Below are 12845 nucleotides of genomic sequence, written 5' to 3'. Positions count from 1 at the left end.
ACTCATCGGCCGGGCACGGTGGCTCACACCTGTAATCCCAGCACTTTGGGAGGCCAAGGTGGGCAGATCACCTGAGGTCAGGAGTTTGAGACCAGCCTGACCAACATGAAGAAATCCCATCTCTACTAAAAATACAAAATTAGCCAGGCGTGGTGGCGCATCCCTGTAATCCCAGCTACTTGGGAGGCTGAGGAAGGAGCAACGCTTGGACCCGGGAGGTGGAGGTTGCAGTGAGCTGAGATCGGCCATTGCACTCCAGCCTGGGTAACAATAATATAATAATAATAATAATAATAATAATAATAATAATAATAATAAAATAGAAAGAACTGATCAACATGCTTAACTCTAGAGTGAGGTATTCAAAACTCAGTCTTTTTACTTTCGAAACTTTACTCTAAATCCTATTAAATTTATGTAGTTAGGTATAGTAGGTTTCATTTGAGCAGAAGGTTAGATTTTCAGTTGAATAGCCTTCAGATAATTGGCTCAATGATTCAAGAAATATTTACTGATACTCACTGATTCAAAAAATATTTACCGAGAACTGTGCCTATCTGAGATGTACTAGGTGACATGGATACTGTGCTAAGTAATATTGACACGAATACGAATCAGAGGAGGCCTGCCATCTATTGTCCTCGGGACAGGCAAATATGAAAGAAGTCATGTGATGCGAATTAAAGGGGTTGGGGCAATAATGTGCATAGAGAGTGGGCATAAAAGAAAGGGTTAGTGATTTTTAACTGAGTAAGAGGGAAAACATGGGGGTTAAAAAAGCTTCAGAAAGCTGATTATATGTGAGTGGGATCTTAAAATTAAATCAGTTGTTCGTGGGAGCTGAATGATGAGAACACATGGACACATTTAGGGGAACAACACACACTGGGGCCTGTTATCAGGGGCAGGGGGAGGGAGAGCATCAGGAAGAATAGCTAATGGATGCTGGGCTTAATGCTTGGGTGATGGATTGATCTGTGAAGCAAACCACATGGCACACATTTACCTATGTAACAAACCTGCACATCCTGCACATGTACCCCAGAACTTAAAATAAAAGTTGAAGAGAAGAAAATCAGGTGTTTGTCAGGTAGCTAGGGGAGGGAGATGCATACAGTGTAGAGGGACCATTTAAACAATGTGTTAGGGGAGATGAAAGTACTTGGGTAGATATGAAATGTAAAATGCACATTGTGGTACAAGACATGGCAAGAGATGAAGCTGGGAACCATGGGCTCTCCTGTTGCTAGGGTTAGTCTAACAGGTCCCAATACCTGTTCCAGTATCATCTCTTTCTCATTCTGTCTCCTTGGACCTAACAGTGTTCTGATCTTAGCTGTAAAAGTTGATTAAATTCTTTTAACAATGTTGCATATACTCCAAAGATATTACAACTTGATTGCATACGAAAAACATAATTCTTTAAATTTATTTTTAGTGTTAGAGTTAATAGGTGATGCATAATAGACAATCTGAGCCAGATTGTGAATGTTATTATGACACATATAGCTACTATAATTGTTAATCTGTGGGTTTTTGAATTAGTTGTCAAATATAAATATGCAGCAAAAATTGCCTCTTCTTTTCCATTAATTTTTATGACATCCAACTTTTCTATTTTCTTGACTGTTACTATAAAGACTTTTGGTAGATGAATTATTTTACAGTCACCGATTTTTAGTCACTAGCTAAAGTTTAAATTCACTGCTGCAGATGTCCCAAATCATCTGGGTGGTGTCATGGGAAATATTTTAAGCTATCATCTATTGTTTGTCATGGATGAGTGATCATTCTATCACCTTAGATTTTAAAATTTGCTTAGGTTATTTAATGATAGTTTTATTTTTATTTTTGATAATTTTTATTGAAGTATAAAATGCATATAGAAAAATACACAAGTTTTACTTTTTTAAAATATAATTTAAGTTTCAGGGTACATGTGCACAAAGTGCAGGTTTGATACATAGGTATACTTGTGCCATGTTGGTTTGCTGCACCCATCAACTCGTCATTGACATTAGATATTTCTCCTAATCCTATCCCTCCCCCCAGTTCCCCACCCCACGACAGGCCCTGGGGTGTGATGTTCCCTGTGCTGTGTCCAAGTGTTCTCATTGCTCAATTCCCACCTATGAGTGAGAACATGCAATGTTTGGTTTTCTGTCCTTGTGATAATTTGCTCAGAATGATGGTTTGCAGCTGCATCCATGTCCCTGCAAAGGACATGAACTCATCCTTTTTTATGGCTGCATAGTATTCCATGGTGTATATGTGCCACATTTTCTTAATCCAGTCTATCATTGATGGATATTTGGGTTGGTTCCAAGTCTTTGCTATTGTGAATAGTGCCGCAATAAACATACGTGTGCATGTGTCTTTATAGTAGCATGATTTATAATCCTTTGGGTATATACCTGGTAATGGGATGGCTAGGTCAAATGGTATTTCTAATTCTAGATCCTTGAGGAATCGCCACACTGTCTTCCACAATGGTTGAACTAGTGTACACTCCCACCAACAGTGTAAAAGCATTCCTATTTCTCCACATCCGCTCCAGCATCTGTTGTTTCCTGACTTTTTAAGGATCGCCATTCTAACTGGTGTGAGATGGTAGCCCATTGTGGTTTTGATTTGAATTTCTCTGATGACCAGTGATGATGAGCTTTTTTCATGTGTCTGTTGGCTGCATAAATATCTTCTTTAGAGAAGTGTCTGTTCATATCCTTCACCCACTTTTTGATGGGTTTTTTAAAATTGTAAATTTGTTTGAGTTCTTTGTAGATCCTGGATATTAGCCCTTTGTTAGATGGGTAGATTGCAAAAATTTTCTCCCATTTTGTAGGTTGCCTGTTCACTCTGATGGTAGTTTCTTTTGCTGTGCAGAAGCTCTTTAGTTTAATTAGATCCCATTTGTCTATTTTGGCTTTTGTTGCCATTGCTTTTGGTGTTTTAGTCATGAAGTCCTTGCCCATGCCTATGTCCTGAATGGTATTGCCTAGGTTTTCTTCTAGGGTTTTTACGGTGTTAGGTCTAATATGTAAGTCTTTAATCCATCTTGAATTAATTTTTGTATAAGGTGCAAGGAAGGGATCCAGTTTCAACTTTCTACATGTGGCTAGCCAGTTTTCCCAGCACCATTTATTAAATAGGGAATCCTTTCCCCAGTTGCTTTTTTTTGTCAGGTTTGTCAAAGATCAGATGGTTGTAGATGTGTGGTGTTATTTCTGAGTCCTCTGTTCTGTTCCATTGGTCTACATCTCTGTTTTGGTACCAGTATCATGCTGTTTTGATTACTGTAGCCTTGTAGTATAGTTTGAAGTCAGGTAGCATGATGCCTCCAGCTTTGTTCTTTTTGCTTAGGATTGTCTTGGCAATGTGGGCTCTTTTTTGGTCCCATATGAACTTTAAAGTAGTTTTTTTCCCATTCTGTGAAGAAAGTCATTGGTAGCTTGATGGGCATGGCATTGAATCTACAAATTACTTTGGGCAGTATGGCCATTTTCATGATACTGATTCTTCCTATCCATGAGCATGGAATGTTCTTCCATTTGTTTTTGTCCTCTTTTATTTTGTTGAGCAGTGGTTTGTAGTTCTCCTTGAAGATGTCCTTCACATCCCTTGTAAGTTGGATTCCTAAGTATTTTATTCTCTTTGTAGCTATTGTGAATGGGAGTTCCTCATGATTTGGCTCTCTGTTTGTCTGTTATTGGTGTATAGGAATGCTTGTGATTTGTGCACATTAATTTTGTATCCTGAGACTTTGCTGAAGTTGCTTATCAGCTTAAGGAGATTTGGGGCTGATACGATGGGGTTTTCTAAATATACAATCATGTCATCAGCAAACAGAGACAAGTTGACTTCCTCTTTTCCTAATTGAGTGCCCTTTATTTCTTTCTCTTGACTGGCTGCCCTGGCCAGAACTTCCAACACTATGTTGAATAGGAGTGTTGAGAGAGGGCATCCTTGTCTTGTGCCAGTTTTCAAAGGGATTTCTTCCAGTTTTTGCCCATTCAGTATGATATTGGCTGTGGATTTGTCATAAATAGCTCATATTATTTTGACATACATTCCATTAATACCTAGTTTACTGAGAGTTTTTGGCATGAAGCACTGTTTAATTTTGTCAAAGGCCTTTTCTGCGTCTATTGAGATAATCATGTGGTTTTTGTCGTTGGTTTTGTTTATGTTTATTGATTTGTGTATGTTGAACCAGGCTTGCATCCTAGGGATGAAGCTGACTTGATAGTGGTGGATAAGCTTTTTGATGTGCTGCTAGATTTGGTTTGTCAGTATTTTATTGAGGATTTTTGGATTTTTGCATCAATGTTCATCAGGGATATTGGTCTAAAACTCTTTTTCTGTTGTGTCTCTGCCAGGCTTTGGTATCAGGATGATGCTGGCCTCATAAAATGAGTTAGGGAGGAGTCCCTCTTTTTCTATTAATTGGAATAGTCTCAGAAGGAATGGTACCAGCTCCTCTTTGTACCTCTGGTAGAATTCGGCTGTGAATCAATCCATCTGGTCCTGGGCTTTTTTTCATTGGTAGGCTATTAATATTGCCTCAATATTACAGCCTGTTATTGATCCATTCAGAGATTCAACTTCTTCCTGGATTAGTCTTGGGAGGGTGTATGTGTCAAGGGATTTATGCATTTCTTCTAGATTTTCTAGTTTATTTGCATAGAGATTTTTATAGTATTCTCTGATGGTAGTTTGTATTTCTGTGGGATTGGTGGTGCTATCCCCTTTATCATTTTTTATTGCGTCTATTTGATTCTTCTCTATTTTCTTCTTAATTAGTCTTGCTAGTGGTCTATCAATTTTGTTGATCTTTTCAAAAAACCAGCTCCTGGATCCATTGATTTTTTGAATGGATTTTGTGTCTCTGTCTCTTTAAGTTCTGCTCTGATCTTGGTTATTTCCTGCCTTCTGCTAGCTTTTGAATTTGTTTGCTCTTGCTTCTCTAGTTCTTTTAATTGTGATGTTAGGGTGTCGATTTTAGATCTTTCCTGCTTTCCTTGTGGGCATTTAGTGCTATAACTCCTTCTATGAACTGCTTTGGCTGAGTCCCAGAGATTCTGGTACATTGTGTCTTTGTTCTCATTGGTTTCAAAGAACATCTTTATTTCTGCCTTCATTTGGTTATGTACCCAGTAGGCATTCAGGAGCAGGTTGTTCAGTTTCCATGTAGTTGTGTGGTTTTGAGTGAGTTTCTTAATCCTGAGTTCTAATTTGATTGCACTGTGGTCTGAGACACAGTTTGTTGTGATTTCTGTTCTTTTACATTTGCTGAGGAGTGCTTTAGTTGCAATTACGTGGTCAATTTGAGAATAAGTGCGATGTGGTGCTGAAAGAATGTATATTCTGTTGATTTGGGGTGGAAAGTTCTGTAGATATCTATTAGGTCTGCTTGGTGCAGAGCTGGGTTCAAGTCCTGGATATCCTTGTTAACCTTCTGTCTCATTGATCGGTCTAATATTGACTGTGGGGTGTTAAAATCTCCCATTACTATTGTGTGGGAGTCTAAGTCTCTTTGTAGTTCTCTAAGGACTTGCTTTATGAATCTGGGTGCTCCCATATTGGGTGCATATATATTTAGGATAGTTAGCTCTTCCTGTTGAATTGATCCCTTTACCATTATGTAATGGCCTTCTTTGTCTCTTTTGATCTTTGTTGGTTTAAAATCTGTTTTATCAGAGACTAGGATTGCAACCCCTGCTTTTTTTTTTTTTTTTTGCTTTCCATTTGCTTGGTAGATCTTCCTCCATCCCTTTATTTTGAGCCTATGTGTGTCTCTTCATGTGAGATGGGTCTTCTGAACACAGCACACCTATGAGTTTTGACTCTTTATCCAATTTGCCAGTCTGTATCTTTTAATTGGGGCATTTAGCCCATTTACTTTTAAGGTTAATATTCTTATGTGTGAATTTGATCCTTTGTGTCATTATGATGCTAGCTGGTTATTTTGTACATTAGTTGATGCAGTTTCTTCATAGCATCAATGGTCTTTACAATTTGGCATGTTTTTATGGTGGCTGGTACCAGTTATTCCTTTCCATGTTTAGTGCTTCCTTCAGGAGCTCTTGTAAGGCAGGCCTGGTGATGACAAAATCTCTCAGCATTTGCTCATCTATAAAGGATTTTATTTCTCCTTCACTTACGAAGCTTAGTTTGGCTGGAAATGAAATTCTGGGTTGAAAATTCTTTTCTTTAAGAATGTTGAATGTTGGCCCCTACTCTCTTCTGGCTTGTAGTGCTTCTGCTGAGTGATCCGCTGTTAGTCTGATGGGCTTCCCTTTGTGGGTAACCCGACCTTTCTGTCTGGCTGCCGTTAACATTTTTTCCTTTATTTCAACCTTGGCAAATCTGATAATTACGTATCTTGGGGTTGCTCTTCTCGAGGAGTATCTTTGTGGTGTTCTCTGTATTTCCTGAGTTTGAATGTTGGCCTGCTTTGCTAGGTTGGGGAAGTTCTCCTGTATAATATCTTGCAGAGTGTTTTCCAACTTGGTTCCATTCTCATCACTTTCAGGTACACCAATCAAATGTAGATTTAGTCTTTTCACATAGTCCCATGTTTCTTGAAGCCTTTGTTCATTTCTTTTTACTCTTTTTTCTCTAACCTTGTGTTCTCACCATATTTCATTAATTTGATCTTCCATCACTGATACCCTTTTTTCCACTTGATTGTATCAGCTATTGAAGCTTGTGCATGCATCATGAAGTTCTCATGCCATGGTTTTCAGCTCCATCAGGTCATTTATGTTCTTTTCTACACTGTTTATTCAAGTTAGTAATTCAGCTAACCTTTTTTCAAGGTTTTTTAGCTTCCTTGTGATGGGTTAGAACATGCTCATTTAGCTCAGAGAAGTTTGTTATTACCGACCCTCCGAGCCTACTTCTGTCAACTCATCAAAGGCATTCTCCAACCAGCTTTGTTCCATTGCTGGTGAGGAGCTGTGATCCTTTGGAGGAGTAGAGGTGCTCTGATTTTCAGAATTTTCAGCTTTTCTGCTCTGGTCTCTCCTTCATCTTTGTGGTTTTATCTAACTGTGATCTTCGATGTTGGTGACCTACAGATGGGGTTTTTGTGTAGATGTCCTTTTTGTTGATGTTGATGCTATTCCTTTCTGTTTGTCAGTTTTCCTTCTAGCAGTCAGGTCCCTCAGCTGCAGGTCTGCTGGAGTTTGCTGGAGGTCCACTCCAGACCCTGTTTGCCTGGGCATCACCAGCAGAGGCTGCAGAACAGCAAATATTGCTGCCTGATCCTTTTCCTCTGGAAGCTTCATCCCAGAGGGGCACGTGCCTATATGAGGTGTCTGTCTGCCCTTACTGGGAGATGTCTCCCAGTTAGGATACACGGGGTTCAGGGACCCACTTGAGAAGGCAGTCTGTCCATTCTCAGAGCTCAAACACCGTGCTGGAAGAACCACTGCTCTCTTAAGAGCTGTCAGACAGGGACATTTAAGTCTGCAGAAGTTGTCTGCTGCCTTTTGTTCAGCTATGCCCTGCCCACAGAAGTCTAGCCTATAGAGGCAGTAGGCCTTGCTGAGCTGTGGTGGACTCCGCTCAGTGCGAGCTTCCAGGCCACTTTGTTTACCTACTCAAGCCTCAGCAATGGTGGACGCCCCTCCCCCAACCAGGCTGCCACCTCACAGTTTAATCTCAGACTGCTGGGCTAGCAGTGAGCAAGGCTCTGTGAGCATGGGACCTGCCGAGCCAGGCACGGGAGAGAATCTCCTCGTCTGCTGGTTGTTAAGACCTTGGGAAAATTGCAGTATTTGGGCAGGAGTGTCCTGTTTTTACAGGTGCAGTCTGTCATGGCTTCCCTTGACTAGGAAAGGGAATTCCCCTGACCCCTTGCACTTCCTGGGTGAGGCGACAACCTGCCCTGCTTTGGCTCGCCCTCTGTGGGCTGCACCCACTGTTCAACCAGTCCCAGTGAGATGAGCCAGTTTCCTCAGTTGAAATGCAGAAATCACCCATCTTCTGCATCAGTCATGCTGGGAGCTGCAGACCAGAGCTGTTCCTATTCGGCCATCTTGGCCACAAGTTTTAAGTTTACAAATAAATGATATTCAGAAAAAGAATACATCTGTGTAACCAGTCCTCATGTCAAAAAACATAATCAGCACCCATGAAGCTCCAATTATACCCTTACAGTGACTGCCTCCTCATGGGTAACTGTTAGTCTAACTTCTAATGCTATAGTTTAGCTCTGTACATATTTGAACTTTTTATAAATGGAATCATCATGGTAGGTATTATTTTGGGTGTGGCTTTTCTTGCTTAACATTATGTTTGTGACATCTGACCATATCATGGAATTGTAATTTGTTCATTTTCATTGCTGTGCAGTTTTCCACTGGATAAACCCACAATTTACTTATGCATTATACCATAGATAGTTCAGCTGTTTTCATTTATTTGTCAATTAAAAATGGTACCAAACTATTGGTAGATTGATTAAAAAAATTATTTTGTAGTGATGGGGCCTCACTATATTGCCCAGTCTGGTCTCGAACTGGCCTCAAGTGATCCTCTTGCCTCAGCTTTCCAAAGTGCTGGGCTTATAGGTGTGAGCCACTGTGCTCAGCCTGGTAGTTTAATTTTTAAAATAATTTTTTAATAGAGACAAGATCTTACTATATTATCCAGGCTGGTAGTTTGATTTTAACAGTATTCCAGTTTCTGTCTGGTTGCCTTTCATGTGAAAGTGCTAATTGCAATGTTCTATGTCACAATAACAAATGAGAGGAACAGTGAGTTTGTAGTATTTGGCAGTACTAGGTGGCAAAAATCTCCCTTCCTCTACCCCAAATTTGTATACTAATTTAAGCATTGCCAACCTTAGCCTATATTTATAAAGAGAGAAATGATCAAATCATGGGGGTTACTTCCACTTTGTAAATTAGGGTAAAGACTGTGTTATCCATGTAATGCTATTTGATAATCTACCCCAGGAATATCCACTAAGACCTCCTTGTAAACTACCATCCTTAGGGGGTCCTAAGGATAGTTGGCTTAGAATGGTTGAAGAGAAACACCTTTTGAGATGGATGTGTACTGGGAGAGTGTTGTGGCATCATACATAATTTTGCTCAATGAGCGAATTATTTTCTGCATAGATTGAAAACTTCCACACTACTGTTAAGAAATGTTTAAAACAAGTCTCTTTTTCTTTTTCTTTTTTATTTTTTTGAGATGGAGTCTCGCTCTGTTGCCCAGGCTGAAGTGCAGTGGCACGATCTCTGCTCACTGCAAGCTCTGCCTCCTGGGTTCACGCCATTCTCCTGCCTCGGCCTCCTGAGTAGCTGGGACTACAGGCGCCCACCACCACGCCCGGCTAATTTTTTGTATTTTTTTTAGTAGAGACAGGGTTTCACCGTGTTAGCCAGGATGGTCTCGATCTCCTGACCTCGTGATCCGCCCACCTCGGCCTCCCAAAGTGCTGGGATTACAGGCGTGAGCCACTGCGCCCGACCAACAAGTCTTTTCTTAGTGACAGGGATTATGCAGGAGAATTATGGATTTCCCAGGATCATGCTGGGAGAAGGAGTGCAGATGCAGGACAGGTTTAGAGAAGATTCTGAAAGCAGTAGTAATGTGGGAAGCAAGAAGCGTTTATTTTTCAGAATGTGTGGATGAAAGAGAGTCTGTTTTGTTTACTGGTTTATTCCCATTGCCTAAACCAGGGCCAGGCATATACGTAGGTATTAAATACCTCTGAATGTGGACATAGAAGCAGAGGCCTCTGCAGAAAATCAACTAATAAATGCTGGCTACCTGAATACTTTGCATATGGGCATAAGCAAAGACTAAAACTGTAATTATAGAGGCCCTGGAGCAAGAAATAGCTGAACTTAGTGGAGACCACAGGGTCCACAGAGTGAAGATAAGTATTCCCCTAGTCTTGCTGATTAAGGATCCTTATCAGTCTAGAGTGAAGAGAAACAGACCTTCACACAGTTCTCCTTTCTGGCTTACTACTGTTCACTGATAGAACTGGTGCCATTACATCTGTTAGCAACATAACTGAGTCTGGAATCACAAAACAGCACAGTCTTCATATTTTGTCTTGTGTTTGAGGTGACAGGGACTGCAAAGTCTGTAGCAGCTCAGGAAATCTCTGTGCTCATAAACAAGTGATATAGCCCTTTATATGCAAATTTGGCATTTTCTTATAATTAAAACTTGCAATATAACTTTGCAGAAGGGATGCTCTTATGGCATTTCAGATGTTCATCTGAAACAATAAAGGAAATTAGGAGAGTTTTAAAGAAATAGGTATCTATAAATTGGCACAGTATGAAGAGTAAAATAACCAAGAGGTTGGCTGGTTGTGTGTTGGGAAGGCTTGTTTTTATGTATTTGGGGCAGGTGATGGAATTAAGGGTGAGTGGTTCTTGAATGTGTCAATGAATGAGGCAGAAAGTGGGAGAATCAGGCTTCAAGATATGCATATAACTCCAGAGAATTAGAGGAGGGAACTGAAAATATTATTTTTTGGTATGTGATTCTGCAAATATATTGCTCATAATAGACTGCAGGCACAGGAGACAGAATGTCAGAATATTCTGCAATAGGAACCTTGTACTTGTTTTTCTTCCCTTGAGAAGTGCTACCTCACTTGAATTGGCAGGACTTTAATGAAATGGCAGAGTGTAACTCTTCAGATTCGAATTTGGCCTGCACTGTGTAGACAGTGTGCTAGAGCTCACATGCACATGAAACACTTTGTATGGAGAGGTTGAGAATTAATGTTTTCTTAGGGGTTGAGTTTTCAGGGATTACTATCCCTTTGAAAATACTCCACAATGAAGGCTGGGCATGGTGGCTCATGCCTGTAAATAATCCTAGCACTTTGGGAGGCCAAGGCGGGTGGATCATGAGGTCAGGAGTTCAAGACCAGCCTGACCTGACCAAGATGGTGAAACCTGTCTCTACTAAAAATACAAAAAAATTAGCTGGGTGTGGTGGCAGGCACCTGTAATCCCAGCTACTCGGAAGGCTAAGGCAGATAATTGCTTGAACCTGGGAGGTGGGGGCTGCAGTGAGCCGAGATCACGGCACTGCACTCCAGCCTGGGCGACACAGCGAGACTCCGTCTCAAAAAAAAAAAAAAAAAGAAAAACTTCACAATGATTGGTAAGCTATAATTTAGGGGCCACAGAAATGATCGATCCAATAGTGCTCCAAGGTATATGAAACTGTAACTTTATTTTAAAGGAAGGGAGGACTTGGAGGCTTAAAATAGGTATCAGCTGAAATTCCAGCAGCACAAATGTGCCAGGACAAATCAATTATTGGAAATGATTTATTCAGTCAACTTTTACTGGACAGAATTATTCTCATTTCAATAGTCTATTTTCTGCTCCCTTCAAAGAACTCTCCCCCGCACCTTCTTTCCCACCCCTCATCTTCTCTGACTTCTGATGAGGTGCTGTCAGAGGGGCCTGGCAGTGGGAGTAAGCTAATTACACCACCCAGTGCCATACTCCGATTATGAATTTTCAGGTTAGAGATTCATCTGCAAACTGAAGCTTTTTCCTTCAGCCCTCTGATATTAAATTAGGGCAAGGCTTTTTAAACAAAATTAATTATTTAACCAATTTTTAACATATGGAGTCTTAATATGTTGCCCCAGCTGGTCTCAAACTCCTGGGCTCAAGCAATCCTCCCACTTCAGCCCCCTGAGCTGGAACTACAGGTGTGCACCAATGAGCCTGGCTAAGGTGGGTTTTTAAAGAACAATTAGTTTGGAGAATGAAGGTACAATTTGTGGATTTCTCATGCCCATATTTTTCATCCATTATTTCATTATTTCATCCATTTTGTGATTTCCTTTTGGCCTTTTCTCCTCGTATTTAACACTTCTTACAGAGGTAATCTGGGGAGGGAAAAGGAGGTGAAACTTGTATCATTTCATTACTCACACATGTTAAGTATTCGGGGATGTGATTAGGGTTGGAAGAAGGCAGTTTGTTTACTACTTAAATGATTTTATATTTTATAAATGATACTACATTTTGATTATTTACAGGCTATGGTATTCATACTATCTTTGTTCTTATGATATCACATAATAACAAATGTACTGATTTGTCCAGTGTTCCATGAGAACTGGGGCAAGACGCAGCCGGCTTGGAAGCTGTAATGGAATCTGACTTTGAAAGTCATTTTATCTGAGATTCTTATTATTATTCTTATGGCTCCTCAGCATATGGTCTATTCTTTTTCAAAAAGTGAATGGATTTTATAACTTAGAGCAGCTTCGGGTCATAGAAAAATTTAAGAGAAAATACAGATAGTTCCCAAATACTTCCTTTATTTCCTCCCAGTTTCCCCAATTATTAACATTTTGCATTAGTGTGGTACATTTGTTACAATTGATGAACCAATATTGAAATATTATTAACTAAAGTCCAGAGTTTATATCACGGTCTACTCCTTATGTTGTACAGTTGGGTTGTGACAAATGTATAGTGTTATGTATCCACCATTACAGCATTGTACAGGATAGTTTCACCACCCCTCAAAATTCTCCGTGCTTCATCTATTCATCCCTTCCCTATTCTCCCTCACTCCCCCAAACCTCTGTCAACCATGGATCTTTTCAGTGTCTAATTTTCCCTTTTCCAGAATGTCACATAATTGGAATCATATGGGATGTAGCCTTTTCAGACTGGCTGTGTCGCTTAATAATGTGTGTTTAAGGGTCCTCCATGTTTTTTCATGGCTTGATGGCCCATTTCTTTTTACTACTGCATAATATTCTGTTGTATCAATGTACCATTCTGTTGAATGAATGTTCATCCATTCACCTATTGAAGGGCATTTTGATT

This window comes from Homo sapiens, chromosome 4, assembly GCF_000001405.40.
Source record: "Homo sapiens chromosome 4, GRCh38.p14 Primary Assembly".
Lineage (NCBI taxonomy): Eukaryota > Metazoa > Chordata > Mammalia > Primates > Hominidae > Homo > Homo sapiens.
The sequence above is the reverse complement of the archived record's forward strand: the minus strand, read 5'-3'. Positions refer to the sequence as shown.